General features: G+C 43.1%; 1 protein-coding gene across 11 annotated transcripts in view; it reads right to left on the bottom strand.

Moving 5' to 3' along the window:
• The window catches only part of AMOTL1 (angiomotin like 1), a 170,289-nt gene that overhangs the window by 13,667 nt on the left and 137,507 nt on the right, over nucleotides 1-19,115 (bottom strand). For 7 of the 11 annotated variants that reach the window (XM_005273798.5, XM_011542626.3, NM_130847.3 and 4 more), the window contains 3 exons: nucleotides 12,823-12,968; nucleotides 9,000-9,149; nucleotides 3,367-3,557 (listed from right to left, as the gene is read on the bottom strand). In XM_005273798.5, the coding sequence (XP_005273855.1) occupies nucleotides 3,367-3,557; nucleotides 9,000-9,149; nucleotides 12,823-12,968 (487 nt within the window). Of the gene's footprint in view, nucleotides 1-3,366; nucleotides 3,558-5,341; nucleotides 5,419-8,999; nucleotides 9,150-12,822; nucleotides 12,969-19,115 lie in introns of those variants that run through there. The other 4 variants (XM_006718772.4, XM_047426452.1, XM_047426451.1 and 1 more) reach the window with 1 other exon arrangement.

Raw genomic sequence — 19,115 nt, 5'->3', positions numbered from 1 at the left:
CTCAGTTAGTGAATAGTGAAAATGGATTCTAACTCAGGTATTTATGACTCCAAAGTCCATGCCCCTAACCATCGCTCTATACTCCTGCAAGTTTCATATGTCTTTAAGAAGAAGGTCTCAGCAAAGATGAGTAAAGATAAAAACAAACCAGAGGGCATATGTGAGAATGTGGCTCAGAAAAGTGCAAAGTGTCATTGAAAATACACTAAAGGCCAAATGATGTAGAAAGCAAACAAAATGCTTTAAACATATTTGCAAAATTATAAATTCACACTATGGTGCACAAAATCATCAATATAGAAATTAGTGGCTAGAAACATTTTCAACAAATTTACTTTTGGAGACTTTACATGGAGCTGGAAACAAATCTGAAAATTCATGTTTACATTGCCAAGTAAGGAGAGCAAACACAATTAGAGGAAAGCAACTTAGATAGTAAATATATAAAACTCTGAAAGAAATATTACATTGCTTTGAAATTTTTAAAAATTTTCAAAACCTTCTGCACACATAAAAGATAAGCTGACTCTCTAAAAATTCTGACCAACACCATCAAGATGCATAAAGATGGGAAAACCAGTTGGTTTACAGAAGTTATTTTCTTTGTTTAAAAATCATTGATTATAAATATAAAGCATGCATCTGTGGTTGAAAAGTCACAAAACTAATGGCTGGAAATAGTCATTTTTACCAATTTGACTGTGGCCATTTAGCACCTAGTCAATAAGAGCTCAAAATGTGTACCTTTCTCAAAAATGTTTCATTTTCCTTTTTTCTCTTACTGAAAAGAAAAAAGCAATTCTGAAATGACAGAGGTTTTCTTTGAAAAGAACATTAAGATTGGAGCTATCTGAGGTTCTCTGAACCTATTCCCCCACCCAGAAGGGGTAGTCTGTAATGGGGAGGGTAGTTGCTCACAGAATTATTAGATGCTCAATAAATATGTGTAAAAGCAAAGAAGGAGGGGTGACGGGGATGGAAAGGGGCTCCCTCTGCCCATCCAAGACTCCAAATAAGGCAGAGAAGGGGAACAGTGGGACTGGGTAAATCCCACAGAACTCCTGTTCTCTGGGGTAAGAGTCATTTCCCCTTGCACGGAGGATAAGAACAAGGCTGGGCCTAGAATCCTGTGAGTGGGTGATTGTGACTGGGTCTGGTTCTCCTCGCTCCCTACCCTCCCTCCTCTGCCCACTACAGGGTGTATGCTTTGGACTCATTCATTTCCCGACTTCTGAATTTTACTTTCTAGTCCCATTCATACCCTCAGGGCCCAGGATCCCAAACAGACATCTAACGTGATAAACCCACAGACGCTGAAACAACAATGACACGTGGAAGCCCCTGTGTCATTCCTCCAAGGTCACACATTTACACTGCTACTGGGGCTTTAGTGTCCTCAGCCAAAGCAATGTGGTCAGGTTCCCTGCTCTCATCATTTATATTTCACATGTGATGTAAGCGACACTCAGAAGGGCTTGTCCCAGATCACACACGCACAGTCAGGAAGGGAGGGAGAAGCCCTGAGCGCAGGTGTCCTGCCTCCCTGTGCAACGTTCTTTCCATTAAAGCATTCTTTCCATTAAAATTGCAGGGAGGAAGGAAACTCCCAGGGCAACCGTGGACAGCAGTGCACTAGACCACATATGTCCAAGAAGACCAGGTCCCTCTGTGACTTTATGATGACCTGTTCTCTTCCTCGGAATAGAGAGGAAATTTAGTTATTAGCTTAGAAAACAAAAAGCTGAAAAAAAAACCATTTCAATTATGTAAAAATCAACCAATGTTTCAAAAGGCTTCCCTGTGCCCATCCATATACTGCAGGGACTGAACTGGAGGCTGCAACTTCCCTCCAACTCTCAACCCAGGACCCCGGAACTTCACCGCACCATCTCAAGTGTCTATCCCCACTCCCAAAGCCTCACTCTCATGGATACTGCGGGCTGCTTCCCATCAAAGTGTAGACCCACATAAACAACGTGGAAGCACAGAAAAATGATTCCCAAACGGTCATTTTCCACATGGGTCTGTAGGTCTTTCTCGGTGCAAGTGTGCTGTGGCACCCACTGCAGACACCAACGCCCGAATGGTGGCAATGCTTTCTCCAATTCCTGGTGCTAACATCTGAGCATACCACTGGGGATTCTCCCCTACGTCGATAATGAGCCTGAGAGTCCGTGAATAACTTCAAGAGTATCCCCTCTGCACCCCAACAGGCCTTCTCGTAGTCATTAAAAATATAGTAACCCATCCCAAGGCAATGTGGCTTTTACTCCTCTCTCGGTTCATGTCCTGTCATCCAAATAGTACCATAGCCCTTATTTATTAAGAAGTCCCATTTTCTGGGTGCTCCTTTGAAATTTGAGGATCCTTTCCACATAAATTTATCCTGAATTGTGAATTCCAAACAACTTTAAGTTAAATGTCCAATATAACTTATGGGCAGAAAGCAAACTGGGTGGGAGGCAGTGAGGGGCTGGATGGGTCCCCTGCACAGCCACCCCACGTGTGTGCAGCGACTTTGCATGCAGCTGAGATCCAGTGGCCAAAGGTCAAGAGTGCCTTGCTCACTCTGACAACAGTATGTTTTAACAGAACATTTGGGAGCTTTTTTTGTGAATTACTGCACACTTTGAGCTAGTTTATAAAGACAGAATAAGCCATACACCTACAAAAAGAAGGTAAGGCAACAGAGGTAAAAACTGACAGCAGCAGAAAAGAATTTCAAACTAAATGAAATGTTTTCAAGCCAGGCAGATCTCCATTTGACACACAGCCCCATCACTCACTACCATTGTGATTAGGAATCAACCACTGTACCTCTCTAAGCCTCATTTTCTTTGCTTGTAAAATGAAGATGATAATAATATACCTGCCCTCAGGGCTGCTATGGGGATTATCTATTCTTCTAGTTTGGCCCATGATATAAACGCAGCATTAAAAAGTGCCTTAAATATACTTTCACAACATCATTCTTGGTGATTGCACAGTATTCCACTGTGTTATGTACTTTAAATTATTAAATGAACCTCCTCTTGTTGAAATCTAGGCTATGTTAAATGTATTGATATTTTCAACAACACTGAGATTAACTCTTTAGATATTCACCTTCTGGCATGTCTATGATTTTTTTAAGATAAATATCTAGAACTTGAATTGTGGACTCAAAGGAAAGATATATGTTGCCAAATCATCCTCTAGAAATGTTATACCACTTTGCTCTCCAACTAGCACTGTAACTACTTAAAAATAATTTTTAGCTGACTTCACTCCCTAGGATGGGCCTTGGACCTCTCTGGATAGCCTGTTTGTTTTGTTTTGATTTTTTTAACTGTGCTTTTATGACCACCAGAGTTCCACTGGTCTCACCTCTCAGCTGCTGCAGTGGCTGCGGCATTCATGGCAAAGTGTCGGATGGTGCTCTCCTCCAGGTACTTCTGCTCCCACTTTGTCATGTCGGCCTCCAGGGCCAGGATCCGCTCCTCCTTCTCCCGCACAAGTTCCAGGAGGGCTGGGGCATTGTATTCCGGCATGTTGGCTGGCTGGCCATTTCCATGTTTCTGAAGGAGTAGAAAAAAAATCTTGATGCTCAAAACCACATCAATGCTGTCTACACAACTGCCCATACAGAACACATGAGGTTCCCCAGATCCTGCAGCAATTCACACACCATGCTACTTCACCTCCAAATTCCTCTGTTGTAGTTAATTCTCATGGCGCTCTGCAAAACGACAATATTATCCCAGTTTTACAGATGAGAAATGAAGTTTCTGATGGATTAAATTAATGATGCAATGTCTCTCAGCTTATCAGTAGTAGGGTCAGGATTCAAACCTGGGTCTATCTCCACAGGTCAAGGTCTTTGCATGACAAGAAGTGGCTTGTCTAATGGCATGCAGTTAATTACACCAAAAGCAAGAATAGGAATTAAGTCTTGGCCTCCTGGTCTAGGGTACTTTCTCCAGAATTCCACAAAGTGATTCCAGTTGTTTGTTTCCGCTAAGGCTGGTGGGGGAAATGGAAGGCAAAGGAAGTGGGAGATGCCCCAAATTGCATCCTCCCTAGCTGCAATGCTGGGAAAGGAGGTATTCACACCTGCCCCACTCAGAGGCCTGAGAATGAGAATCAAACTAGATAATGCATATGAAAGCAGAAGACCTCTAGCATAAGGCAAGCTCATTTTTCGGCCTTTTCATCTGTGTCAATAAGAGAAAATAAAGCCATTTTCTGGATTGCTCACAAACTGAGGATGTTCATACTTCAGAATCTTTTTCCTTTAATTAGGTACACTATTTCCTCTAAAGAGCATGACACAGAAGAAGATGGCGCTCTGAGAAAGTTCTGCCTTCAGAGCAGCAGCAGAGATAAGTTATCTTGGAGTCTCAGGGTTAGGGGCCCAGTCAGAGTGTGGACCAGGCTCCTTAGTACTCCAGGGAGAATGATTTCATCCCAGTTAGTCTATGTCCTGGGGTACCCATTCCCCTCCTGTTTTCCAGTGGTTGCAAATTTTAAATGCAGAGCTGGGTGCAAGGTGAGAGGCACATGAATGCTTTACCCAGAACCACATAATCCCCTAGATTAAGAAAAGGACTGGGGAATTACCCAGAGCAACAGCTGGGCATTCAAGCTGTACTGACGGAAACTAATCCTATCAGAGAGGAAAAAAGAAATGGGTGTATGGGTTTTTTGTAAACCAAATTTTGTTTTTATTCAGTTTTTTAAAGCTACAAATATAAATTATTCTAGGAAGTGTTATCTTGCCAGTGACCAACATTATAAGTAGGAACAGAGCAGAAGGGCATACCTGTCCTCACCTGACCTGTGCATAAAGGGCACTGACTCCATCTGGCCAGGCACCTAGCCTCAGGCAGGAGAACAAATGAACCAGTCCAGCGAGATGAGACGCTCCCTTATTTTTAGAAACTTTCCAAGAAAAGTCTCCCATATTCACTAAGCTGCCATCTATGCTTGTCAGTTTCTATCTAAATCCCTTTTGTTACCATCTCAGCTGGCTTATTTTTGCAGAATCCTCTTAACCTCACGTGAGATCATGACAACTCTTCATAGCCCCCCCTAATTCAGGTCATTAAGAGTTATTTACATAAATGCATGAATGTCAACATTCAAGGGTACAGAGCTAGCATGGTCTAATGGGTAAGTGTGCTACCGAGAAAAACAGATTGATGGTCAGGTGTGCCAGCTACTGCCGCCCATTCAGCCATCTAGACGACAAGTATTGACTGAGCATGTACCATGTACCAGGGTTGCAACAGTGAACACTACAGATTAAGTCTTCACCCTCAGTGTGTTCACATGGGAGGAATGTCCTCATTAGCTACATGACCTTTAACTTCCCTGTGCCTCATTTTCCTTTCAAAGAACATTCTTCAAGAACCTTCTCTCTTCTTTCTCATAGGACTACTGTGGAAGTAAGACACGAAAATTAATTTGAGCTCTTTGTAAAAGTGATAAAATTGTGAGTTCTTAAAAATGCAAATTCCCCTCTCTCTTTTATCTTTTTTCTCTTTCACTTCCCTCCCAGTTTCTAATGATGCTGAAGTACTATTTGACCTCCCATGGTAGAGGGGCAATTACTTATAAAACAGGAACTGTTGATTAAGAGCTTTTCTTTCTGCTAGTCCTATTGTCCCAACCTATCTTTCTCTCTCCACCCCCCTTCAATAAGCCACACTTCTGTTGACCTTGTTTTCAATGAGGCTAGAAAATCCGGGATAAGGGTGGAATTTGGGAGAGGGTACCTACGAATGCCCTAAAACTTCAAATGATTCTGAAGGTAATGATGGCAATGAGAACAGCAGTGAGAGTGATTTGTTTTTAATCAGTTGCTAAGTGCAAGGCATTCCAAAAAGTACTTTGTTCAGATTTTATTTGTAGTTACAAGTGTGAGGTAAGTATAATTTATTTGCCTCACTTTATAGACAAGGAAGTTGAGGCTCAGAAAGATGACTTACTCTAGGCTACTTTTCTGGTGGGAGGCAGGATTCAACCGTGGCTGGTTTAACCCTGGGGCCCACGCTCAGAATCAACACACGATTCCATGCCTCTCTGCTCATCCTCAGCGTACCAGCCCTTCTGGAAAGGTCCAGAAGAAATAATTGAAATAATTGGAGCTGCTCAAGGGCTCTGTGTTGTTAGAGGGGGCCAAGTAGATGGGCTCAGCTGTGTCCCGGCATAAGTCAAAGGGCAGAGCCCTTGTCTGGGCTGTTGATTCAACAAGAACTCTAAGCTGTGCTCTCAAAAGTCTCTTCAGAATCATGCCCTATGGGAAGTGGTGAGTCCATGCGGTTGGTCTGTTGTTCTGTTGAGGGTGGAGATGACCAGGAGCTTTGTGACAGTGTGACCCCAGCATGCTTTCTAAAGCTGTCAGATAACTGCCTTGGACACAGGGATGAAGGAACAGGGTGTGGTGTGGACGGCAGAAGTCTTTCCCGAGGCTGCTGCCCAAGAACTGGCAGGCATATTCATGAGTTGCGTGAGGGTGAATGAGGAGGAGGGGATCAGAGAGGCCCTGGATCCCCTTTCCCGGACAGGCTGAGTTCCTCAGATGACCCCATGTTCTCAAGTGGATTCCGAGTCATCTCTGGTGAGACCAGCAGAGCTGCCCCCCAGACCAGCCCACAGGCCCCAAAAATGAGTTTAGATACACTTTGCCCTTTACACAGTATCTGCCACATGGAACCAGTAAAAAACTCAAGATGTTTCCAGTGGATTTTTTTGTAATAACATTTTAACCTTTTTTTGGTTATAAGATAATGTATGCTTACTGGGAACATTAGAAAATAAAGAAATATTACAGGAAAAAAAAATAATAAGATTGAGCATCCTAAACCTGAAAATACAAAATCTAAAACACTTCTGGTCCCAAGCATTTCAGATAAGGGATACTCAACCTCTACTTATCTTTTTAATGAGTATCAAGAGCAACAGGGACATAATCCCTGAATGTATTTCATATCATAGGAGGCAGATTAATGCTCTCATTAAAACAACAACAACAACAACAAACTGTAATGTTATTTTTAAAGAGATGCTGAGCATCACAATTCTGTTTAGAGACTGTCTCCTCCTCTTCGGTCTCATGTCAGCCATACACAGCTGGGGGTCTGCCATCAGCTCCCGAACACAAATCCAAAATGAAAGCAGAGTAATTTCCCGGGAGAGCCTCAATTCTGAAATTTCTGTCCCCTACTGGCACTCCTCAGCCTGTCAGCAGCCTTCATGCACAGCAGGAATGTTGTTTTTGCCTGCCTGAGGAAACTGTGTGGGTGAGCGTGCATGGGTCTGAGTGTGCATACAGCCAACTATCCTCTGTGGCAATTAAGATATTTTTCAAATAATTCTAACATTTTATTTCTTCTTGATAAACAACAAGGATAACGGAGGTGAGTCTGGTTTCACAGCACTCAGAAGAGCCAAGGAGAAGTAATCTAACTTTAGGGTGTGGACGGCATATTAACCAGGAAGGAACATTCTTTATGTGCTCTAAGAACCGAGATGTGCCCATTTGGTTAGCCAAAGAAAGACTAATCAGTGTCTACTGTGGGCCAGTGCTGTACCTGGAACCAGGGAGAACCCCTGTCCCCAGATGGGGAAGCGAAGATCTCAGCAACTGAGTGACAGAGAACAGCTGAACGGTGTAACTCTGTGCCAAAGTATGTGGCACAGTTTATCAGTATTAGAAGTCCACAGACAGACCTGCCTTTTCTTACGAGCTATCCACCAAGCCAAGACAGTGGGAGGCGGAGGTGGGTTTCTTACTTTTCTGGGCAATCTCACTAACACCTCCTTCTCCAGCCAAATGCACATACCCAGAGGGAACTGCATGGGCCTGCCCTGTGAGAGGGCTGAGCTGGCCTGAGTGCATGCGCTCAAGTGTTTTCAAGTGTTTCAACCACAACCACTATGCCCTATCCAGTAGATAATTCCATGGGGCCCTGCCTTGCATTTCCCTGGTATCCCAATTTAGAACACACCCTTCACCAGCTACATAAAGGCCTCTGCTCATCATGCTGGGTGATGGTGGACAGGCTCATCTGGGGCCAGGAGCCTTTGACCAGTCTTCTTCCTGCTTGCCGTGGTGCAGGTGAACCCCAGGCTGGGCTTTTCACTCTGTGCTTACTCATAGCTGAGTTACATGCTCAGTTGTTACCAGCAGAGAAGGACAGGCAGCAGGAATAGGGAATTATGGCCAACATTATTTTCTAGGGATGGTCTTACATCCCTTCCTCTCCTTTACTTCTGAAAACTCACTGATCATCATGGGCTACTAATGTCACCCCCTTATTGGCTCTTCCCTTCAACTCCTCCATGGGTTCTCACTGTCACTACACCCTAGGCTGCACCGACAACCTTCAGGCTGGCCTCTGCAACTTTAACATCCACCCTCTGGATGGTCCTCTGACATCAGAGGGCTCTCTCCCTGATCTCTTGCATCATGTTTCTCTCCAGCTTAAAAACTTCCCAGTTGTTGGTACTCTGTTGACTATAAGAAAAAGCCCAGTATCTCAGCTTGACCAAATGTCCTCCACAAGTGGCCTTAGTCTCCTCACCAGCCACTGCACTGGGCACTTTCCCCTAGCTACCTGCACCCTGCTACCCTGGACGTGCTATGTCGTTTCAGGGCCCTGTCCTTTACCATATTCTCCCTCTACCTATGATGTTCTTGCCCTTGAATGCCCAAAAACTCATCTGTCAATGTCCAGCTCAAATGTCTTCCTCTCTGAAGTCATCTAATGCTGCATTCCGCTCTCCCCAGCCCCAAGCTGGCGACCACTTTCTCTCTGTGAGGACATCTGTCACTCCAGTGAGCGGACTGCTCGCCTTCTCTCCTGGTTGTTGTATGGGTTCACTGAGGACAGGGAGTTCTTGTTTCCCTCTGAATCCTGGGAGCAAGGTGCAGGATCTGGCCCATGGTAGAACATCCATACGTTTGCTGAGTGAACATATCTAATTCTTTCACCAGTCCATGCCCAGTTCCTTACCTGCTGGGTTCTCAGTGCATCCAGCTCTCTCTCCAGCCAAGTCCGCAGTCTCCGCTCCATCTGTTCTCGCTTCTCACATGCAGACTGCAGCTGGGTCAGGGCCTGCTGCAGCTTCTCAACTTTCTCAACATATGCTTGCTTCTCTCGTAACTGAGTGGAGAAGAGTAAAAAAGAGCACAGAATTTAGACCACTGATTCTCAAAGCTGGGGTGGAGGAGGTGGGGTCAGATTACCTGGAGATCCTATTTAAACTACAGGTGCACGTACCTCCCACCGCCCTACTCCTATCCTTCAAGTGCACTGGAACAGAAAAGATTTACACATAGACTGCCAGTTATACCTACAATGGCTAGGATGTATGAAATTGAAGACTCTACTGGGGTACCTGCTTTTGGTAATTTGTGCAGCTTTGAGCTCAATACTCATTTATTGCTTAATAATTTCTGCATTTTCAGGCATTGGAAGTGAGGTAAATAAAGAGTTTTTGCACGTATGTTTATTGCAGGACTATTTACAATAGCAAAGACATGGAAGCAACCCAAATGTCCAAGACAATGTGGTACATATACACCATGGAATACTATGCAGCCATAAAAAGGAATGAGATCACGTCCTCTGTAGGGACATGGATGAAGCTGGAAGCCATCATTCTCAGCAAACTAACACAGGAACAGAAAACTAAACACCACATGTTCTCACTCGTAAGTGGGAGCTGAACAATGAGAACATATAGGCACAGGGAGGGGAACAAAACATACCAGGGCAAGTTGGGGGCCGGGGGTGAGGGGAGGGAGAGGATTAGGACAAATAGCTAATACATGTGGGGCTTAAAACCTGGATGATGGGTTGGTAGGTGCAGCAAACCACCATGGCACATGTAGACCTATGTAACAAATCTACACGTTCTGCACTTGTATCCTGGAACTTAAAGTAAAACTAAAAATAGCATAAAATAGATAGAATTAAAAAAAGAGTTTTTGACATCATGAAGAAATGCTTATTCTATAATGTCAAGTGAAAAATCCAGAATCAAAAATTATATACAACATTATCATAACAATGTCTATCCATGAAAAAAAGGCAGGAATGAAATACTTAGCATTAAGCATGCTTATCTATATGACAGAATGGCAATTCTTTATTCTTTTCTATATTTTTTCAAGTTTTCTATAAGCATAAATTACATTTATAATAGAGAAATTAGGTATGTATTTATATATGTATGTGTACCCATTTATGTATGTGTGCATAAATAAAAAATTTTTCTTATTACAGTTATCTATGGAGTAACTTTGTCCTAAAGATTTCAGAGTCCTTTATAGATAGGTAGTTGGGGCCTTGAAGAGATGGGAAGTGCACAGTGAATATTCAACAACACAATAACTGAGGAGATGGAAATTAAGGTTAAAATAATTTATGGAAATGTCACATCAGCTATGGATTTAGAATTATGACCAACAACTTCCAACTCTTACTCTCACACTTTGTTTTCTTCCAATTAGGAGTTTGGCCCATGTTCATAAATCCTGGGCATACTGACAGCATTCTGAGAACTGGCTAGTGCCAAAAATCAGGCTTAGGCATCAACTTGATTTGGTCCTGGGTGAGAAGACACCAGATGCTATTTCCTGTCATTCCGCACCTGGGTGTATTCAATCTTAAGTTCAGTGATGACACTGGCAAGCTGGAACATGCTAGTGATTTAGCTGCTAGGTGAGCTTTCTGACTCAGCAGGCAGCATTGCTGTGAGTTATACCTATATCCTGTCCTAGCTGAAGCCACTGGAATAAAATGGAGATGCTTTGACCTTTCAAGGAGGAGAGAGCAACTTTAGACTTTTTACACCTGTTCTTGGGATTGATTTTCATCTGGCCCTTTCATTCCTTGTGATTTTGATTGCTCAATTCCACTGGCTTCTGAAGACCTACTAAGTGAAGGTTCCTGCAGCCTCATCTGACAAAATATTTTGTGTGTGTGATTCATACACCACTTACCATATCTTCCACTGAGTATACTTTTCTGAATGTGCAGCTACTAGAATATAAGCACCAAGAGATTTGCCTATTTTGGTCTCCACTGGGCAGAGTGAACAGGGCGTACCCAATGCCTGGAATAGCGCTCAGCATTTAGTAGGCACCCAATAAGTATTTGTTAAATGAATAAATACTATCCTTAAGCAATTGCAAGAAGCTTGAAGGCAGGAATCTGTCTCCTTCACCTTTGTATCAACCTTAATTCTAGCAAGGCATATATCCCGATGAGGATGATTAGTAACAGTAATTACATCAGCCAACACTGTTGGAACACTACCATGCCAAGCATTGTGCTTTATATGTAGTATCTCATTTAATCCTCCAAGTAACAACAGGAAGAGGAGGTAAAGTCCTTTATTATCTCCATTAGAGATGAGAAAAGTCTTCAAGGTTACGTGACTTGCTTAAGGTCACACAGCTGACAGGCCATAGAGCCAGGATTCTCATTTACAGCTGTCTGCTCTAGAGTTCACTCTTACCCATCATGGTAAATTACAGTAGGCTCTCAGTATCTGAACTGAATTAAGACCCTTAAAGGAAACTCTAATTAGAAAGGAGTGATGCTGGAAGCAGACCTATGAGACATTCTGGAGAGGCTACATTCAACCAACCAAAGATTTCACATAAATATAATGATTTAAAAAAAAGACCCATATTGGTTGTTATAACTTGTCTTCAAGAAGCTCACAACTAATTTTTACTTTAATAGAAATATTAAAACTAAAAGATTTTAAAAACCATGATTTTCCTTAGCTCCACTCATGGAGATGGAGATGTCATTTCAGTGATGACAATAATGAGAAGCCCCAGCCTCCCTTAGGCATAACAGATCTCCTGTCTTTAAGGGGTTGAGGTCACTTTCTGTGGCAAGTGTTTTCATATTTAATACGTTCCTTAGTGGCAACATGGAAGGCTGTTGCCCCGGAGCCTTATGCTAGTATTAAAATGGTAGTTTCTATGCAAGACTTATGGGGTTTTAAAGGCTTCCAATGGGCAAGACCCTCGTTTACTCCATCATCTTCCTCTTCAGCTGCTTTATCCTTGTGTTTGAAATCTGATGAAACATCCCTGTTACTTAGCATCGGGGGAGGTTTTCTGAAGAGACAGTTTTTTTAAATTCAACAACAGTTGGGTTAGTAACAATACTGTTTCCTTTGTGCCCAGCAACAAGCTAAGCACTTCAGGCAGACTTTCTCAGTTAAGACTCTTATAGACTTTGGGCTTCTACTTCCTGGAACGGATCCTGCTCAGGTAAGCCTGTGTAACACAGAGGCACCTGCCGCCACCACCACAGGGTGCTGGAAGGTGTGAGGCAGCTGGCCCCTGGCTGCCTGGCTAGGCCTCTGCTCCTTTTCTTCTTCTTCATCTATAGCCTGGATTCCTTGGCTTGGACCTCGGAAATGGTCATTTTAATTCCTCAGTCAGGCTTTAAGGAAAAGGCTACCTCATAACACTTAAGCTAACGGGTTGATTTCATCAGAAACTACTAAATGCAATGCATGATGACTGAGTAGGACACGTGTCAACCGATGGGCTGTAGGCTGGGCTTCACACCGAGTGTGAGTGCTTTGCTGATGGGATTCCCATGTGCTTTTCATACTTTGCCTGGCTCTAGAATGCATAGACTCTGTTTTTATTCACTTTTATTTGAGAAGTTTCCCATATCCCTCCCCTGTCTCAACTCCTTGGAATTGGCTCTGGTTAAAGTAGGTGGGTTAGGAAAAGAAAGTGGAAGCCCTCTGGGCTCTGCTTGCCCTCTTCCCCACCAAATCCCCACAGCCTGGTCTCACCTCCTCTTCCAGCTTGATGACCCTGGCCTGGGCGTTGCTCAAAGCCTGGTCCAGGATCTCGATGTGTCTCCGATGGTCCTCACTTGCAGTCCGCACTGCTGCTAACTCCATTTCTAATTTCTCCTTTTCCTTCAAGAATTCTTTGTCTAGAAGGGAAACACGAACAAAACTACCTCTATCAGAAATTGCACACCCTCTGGGCTCACGGCCAGTCGACATCTGGCAAGGATTAAAAATAAAAAAGCATGCAAATAATGGAGGACTGAATTGCTGTTTCTGCTCCCTTTTCATAGTGGTGGTATGGAAGGTAATGGTTTTCTCAAAAACCACGGTCAACAGTGGATACATTCCAGGCCACACTTGTGAACAGTACACAAAGAACCAGTGACCCTATATTCTCGATAACTCACTTCTCTACAACATTGACTTTCATACTTCAAATCAATCTTGTATCTACTATTACATTTTATGCTTACAACATTCCCTGCTTCCATTTTCCAAATCTGTGATGAAAGGGTGGGTAATATTAATAATAATATTAATATTCTCATTCATAGAAAAATAAACCAAGGTCCAGAGAGGTAAGCTCTTTGCCTGAGGCTAGACAGCAGAGGGGAGCTTCAAGCTCAGGCCTCCAATCTCCAGGTAGATCCTCTTTCCATATGACCTGGCCCCACAATTTCCCCTTTTCCTGCTAAAAAGGGGAAAGGGACAAGGCTTTAGATTTAGGAAAACTGCTTTTCTCTCATTCAATGGTGATGTAATGATGGCGATCACTGCCTCTCTTTGCATATGGGAAGCCAAGGCTGGTATGCTCTTAGTTACCCATCGTCCTATACAGACTGCTCTACTGTTGTAGTTTAAGCAGGCAGCGTCGATAGTGTCATGGAATGAGCATTTCTTATTGAAAATACTTTTCATGTTGCAAAAGCAATATGCTGTTTTTTAAAAATAAGACTATTTAGATACATTGCTTATAATATGGAAAATTGAACAAACAGTACGTAAGAGATTGGCCAAATAAACTTCTAGAAACTCTCTGATAGGATGCATCCATTAAAATTAAATAAGAGAATACTAGTGACATGAAAAAAAGTCTCCTTGTTGAAAACAGGTAGTTACAAAACCGTATGCATACTACTCCATATTTATAGAAAATGAGGCATAGAATGACAATAGTAGCAGCAACAATAGTAGTTAGAAATGGATTTCTCTGTGCCCACACCATTTCAATGTTCCATACTGGCTATCTCAATCCTAGCAACCCACACTGAACCATAGAGAACCCAAGTCTGGAAGCGACATCAGTGGTTAACCAGTGGTTAACAGTGTTTGCATTCATTCATATTTCTGTCTATATTCATTCGTTAATTTAACGAATAATTATTTAGGACCAGCACTATGTGTTCTGAAGTAATAGAAAGAATGCAGCACACTAACAGGGCAGAAAAATGTGGTTTTAAATACAGGGCATGGAAATTAAAATGACACTGTAAGGCTGCAAATATCAGATAAACTCACAACTTTAGAGCCAGAAAGGATCACAGGAAACATCAACATCCAGTTCTCCCTCTTTTGCTTCATTGCTGAGAAGAGGAAAGCCCTGAGGAACAAAGGCACTTGTCCAGGGTCTCCCAGCCAGTGGGGACAGAGACAGGGCCAGAATCTGGTCTTCCTGATGTCCCAGTACAATGTCCTTCCTTCTTGACTGCACAACCCTTGCATTGTCGAATTATGTCGATGGGATCAGAGGGCAATGGAACAGCTTCTGAATCGATAGACTGAAGGAGCTGACTTGTAAAGCTAAGTGGTGGCTGTGCTTCCTAGAAACAATGGCATCCCTGAAAACAAGATGAGGCCACCAAGATCCTGACTCAGAGCACAGCACTACTTCTGGGCTCTTTATGCCCCACTGCAGTGACCCACTGCACTGCCCCTTCTTCCTTTCTGCAGCATTTGAAATGGTGCCTCTGAAACTTCCTTCCCAATCCACGGGCATGTGAGACCTCAGCAACAACAGGCATGTGAGAGACCTAAACTAAGGGGTCAGTAGCAGCCCACTAGCGCTGCCCGTCCCCATCCACAGCCCTGAAGGGATCAAAGCACCTCACTCTTTCTGTGCAAAGTCACTGATATTTGACCACCTAACCCTAGGTTTGGACAACATCTCAATGGGCATAGTGGCTGCTGGCCTTCTCCAAGCTCTGGAGGGCACTCAGGTATTACTAAGCAGGCATCCTGGAGATGAACCACAGGATCTCAGAGCTTCTGCCTGGTTATCAACCTAAGCATAAAAGTTCTTCTCTTTGTTGAGGGCCACCAAGTATACACTAATGTTGACCAGAAGTAATAAAATGATAGTCTGAGCTCAAGAATAGAAGCCACAACCAAAGCTTCTCATGTTCTGCAAATCAGTGATCACTATTATTGATTGCTATGTCACAATGATAGCTATTTAGATAGTCCTGAGTCAACAAACACCCCACCCCCTCCAACACCCCCCCACCGCATATATACATGATCTCAGCATTTGCTATTTGCTTGATAAGCAGTATCATATTGTAGCTAAACAAAGGATTTTTAGCATGAGAAAGACCTGGATTCAAATCCTAGGCTCACTACTTTACAATTATGAGGCCTCAGGTGAGATATTTAACCTCTCTGTGCCTCAGCTCCCTCAACTATCAAATGGCAATGGTAACATCTACATCACAGTGTTATTACAATGATGCTGTTGATGACGATGATGCTTATAAAGTATAAAGGACTTTGTTTGGTTATTATTGATTCCCTGGGCCAATAAGAGCATCTGGCTCAAAAATATTGTTGAATGAATGAGTGAGTCTCTATTATGTGCCAAGTTCAGTGTCCACTGAACAAGAAATTATAGCTCCTGTTAGCTATTAGGTATTCAGTATCCTCATGACCTCCTAACAGCCTTTGTTATGCAGCTGTCCACTCGACCTTCAAACCCACTGCTCGCTTACAAGCCGCGACACATCAGATGGCTGGTACTGACCATGGATACCTCTGGTTCCTTCCTCTGCCCAGGCTCCCTAAACCCCACAGTGTACACTACAGACAAAGATGTGGAGACTGGACAAAAGCTACATTCGTTTCTGGGGTGTTTTGTAGACCTCTGAAATACATGGGTCAAACATCTCTGTCCTGAATTTAGTGACTTTAGACTTCAAGCTCCAGCAGTACCATTTAGTATCACTCACACTGGTTCAGAACTGCTTGTCCACTGATAGGAAGTAGTGTTGTCAATTATAAAGTTTTAAAAACAATGCTCATGATAATAGTAGTAACAATATCTTCCCATGTTTGTTGAATAAGTATTGTGTTCCAGGAATGGTTACTTATAGTAGTCTCTTTATTCTAAGTTTACTGTATGAGGTAGGCACCATAATTCTTATTTTCCAGCTGAGGAAAATGCCACTAAAAAAAAGGGTAAGTAACTTGCCCACAGAGGTGATGATCATCAATGGCAGAAATAGAAGTTGCATTTATATCTAATGTGTGTTCCCAAACACAGCCCTGTACTGCCCCTCCTCTCCAAGCACACATAGGGATAGAAGAGCCCCATTATAACACAGTTTACTATTGCACAGATTTAAGTTATGTCACAGGTCATATATCTCTGAAAACATAGCAATTACATTCACATGTGTATCCATTTACAAATATTAACTAATGAAGCATCTACTACTCAGAGGCATCAGAGTACTGCCTGGGTTCACACCCAGCTCTTCCACTTATGGTTCTGTGACTGAGGTAGTAAACAAACCTCTCTGTGCTTCAGCTTCTCTGCCTTTAAAAGTAAGCATCACAATAGTACCTATTTCAAAAGGCATATAGTAAGTTCCCGATGAATGTCAACTTCGATAACACTGGTTATTATTGTTGTTACAGGAAGCATGATAAATTCTAGGGCTATGAGGTGAGTAGGATGTAGCATTCTGCACTTGATCTGGTGGGAAAAGACGTAAGGACATGGGCAAAGGCAATGTGACAAGGTGCTCTAACAGATGCATGCACAGGGTGCTATGAGAACACAGGAAGGACAGCTAATTCAGGGCAGGGAGTGAGGAAGATGGGGTATCAAGGCAGTGAGCCTACAAGGTGGGCTAGCTATGCTCCCCAACTCTTGGAGACATGGGGACCATGAAGTGTATCAGACTCACTCAAAGAAGTCATCCTTCGGGAGATAACAAGGGAGAGTCCCATGGTGAAACCACCTCATAAGAAGGCCCTTCAGTTTATTAGCTAAGCCTCTTAGGATGGATCTCAAGAAAGACAAGTCTCGTGATGAATTTTTGGTAGGGCTCCAATATATATACTGAGAATTCCTAGAACAGGCAAGTTGACACAAGGGAATTCTTGCCCAGAATGGTCTGTTTACTCAGTGGATATGAACTACCCTGAACTGTGTGGCGCAGGGAGCTGTTTAGCTTGATGGCTCTGGTCCCATTTACATAGAAGGATGTCTGCTCATACACTGTTTACTCTTGAAACCACAGTGATGGCACAGGCTGTGTGGCCAGGCCGACCTGGTTTGACTTTGGCACCTTCACATAGCAGCTCACCTTGGACACATGACTTTACCTCTCTGAGACTCCATCTCCTCAAATGAAGCTCACAAGATCTATTTTGCAGAACTGCGGGTGAGGATTAAAATAAGTACCCATAAAATGCCTACCACAGGACTTGGCACATAGTACTATACTTGATAAATAACAACAAGAGCTAACATATATTCCTGGGGACTTACCATGTCCCAGCTACTGTTCCAAGAGCTTTACAACATATAATCCTCACATAAGCCCCATTTGACGAATAGAAAACTGAAGCAAAACAAGCTATGACACTTGTACAATGTCGAATGGTGGTCCCATTTGTGTCTCCACCCGTACGTTAGTCTCCCTTGCTTGAGGAAAGAACACAAGTGGTAGAAAGTAGAAATAGGCCTAATAATTCAAAGATGTCCCCTTTCTGTCTTACCCTTCTCCTTTGTCAGTTCTGGGTAAGGTTCCAAGTGGACACCCTGCTGAAACTGTTTCTGTGATTACTATCTGAGCACTAAGCCTAACTGCCAGCTGATCCATGGGACAGACGACCCTGTTCTACCATCTTAGCCACTTCAGTTAAGAAACATTGAGGGTGGATGTGTGTATAAGGTCAGGGCTCTATGTGCTGTGCTACAGCTTCATATTCAGTGCTCCCACTTATGGCTGGGGCTTCTGAGGACAGCAAACCTGTAAGCCAGCACTTCCTACATAGGAATTAATTTCTAGGGCTTTCTGATATAACGGATTTTTGAGAAGTTTTTCCCTACCCCATGTAGCTGGAGAGATAGAGGAGTCCAGCTACTGCCTGCTTGATCAAGTAGTGTCTAAGTCACTGGAGTGCTTGGTAGGTAAAACATAGGTGTTTGCTATGGTTTGAATATGGTTCCCCAAATTTCATGTGTTAGAAACTTAATCCTCATTGTAACAGTATTAAGAGGTGGGGCCTTTAAGAGGTGATTAGGCCATGAGGGTTCAGCCCTCATGAATGAATTAATGCTGTTACTGTAGGAGTAGGTTGGTTATTGTGGGAATAGGCTACTGATTTAAAAAATGAGTTCTGCTTGATTCTGTCTCATGGGATCACTTCTGCCTTCTGCCCTTTGGCCATGCAATAACAGAGCACAAGGCCCTCACTAGGTGCCAGCACCATGCTCTTGGACTTCCCAGCCTCCCGAACTATGAACCAAATAAACTTCTATTGTTTGTAAATTACCTAGTCTGTGGTATTCTGTTACAGCAGCAGAAAATGAACTAAGACAGTATTCTTTTCCTTTTTCAGCTGGAATCAAGGTTTGATCCTTAACCAACTGGATTTGGGGGGTTTAGGTCTCTCAGAGAGAGAGAAAGAAGAAAGGAAGGGAGAGAGAGAGAGGTATGAAGGCATAAAAATAGGCCAAGCTAATTCTGTTCAAGCTCCAAATTCCAAATGCTCCCATAGTGACACATAACTAGCCCATTTTGGCACCTGCTTCTGGAGAGTCAGGTATCTCTCTGGCACTTCTCAAGGAAGGTTCTTGGATGTGGGAAGAGGGGGTGGTGGTGGCAGAGTTAAAGGAGGAGGAGGCAGACACAACAATGAACCTCAGAAATGCTAATAACTGATTTTAGAGGACAGTCTCTGGGACTCTCTGAGTGAAGATAGCTTAAAGGGCATTACCAGAGAAGAGGCCATAGACAAAGGAGAGGCCGAGTAGGGAGACTGATGGGAGCCATGTACAACAG

Source organism: Homo sapiens, chromosome 11, assembly GCF_000001405.40.
Source record: "Homo sapiens chromosome 11, GRCh38.p14 Primary Assembly".
Classification (NCBI taxonomy): domain Eukaryota; kingdom Metazoa; phylum Chordata; class Mammalia; order Primates; family Hominidae; genus Homo; species Homo sapiens.
This window is presented reverse-complemented; position numbering and strand designations above follow the sequence as displayed.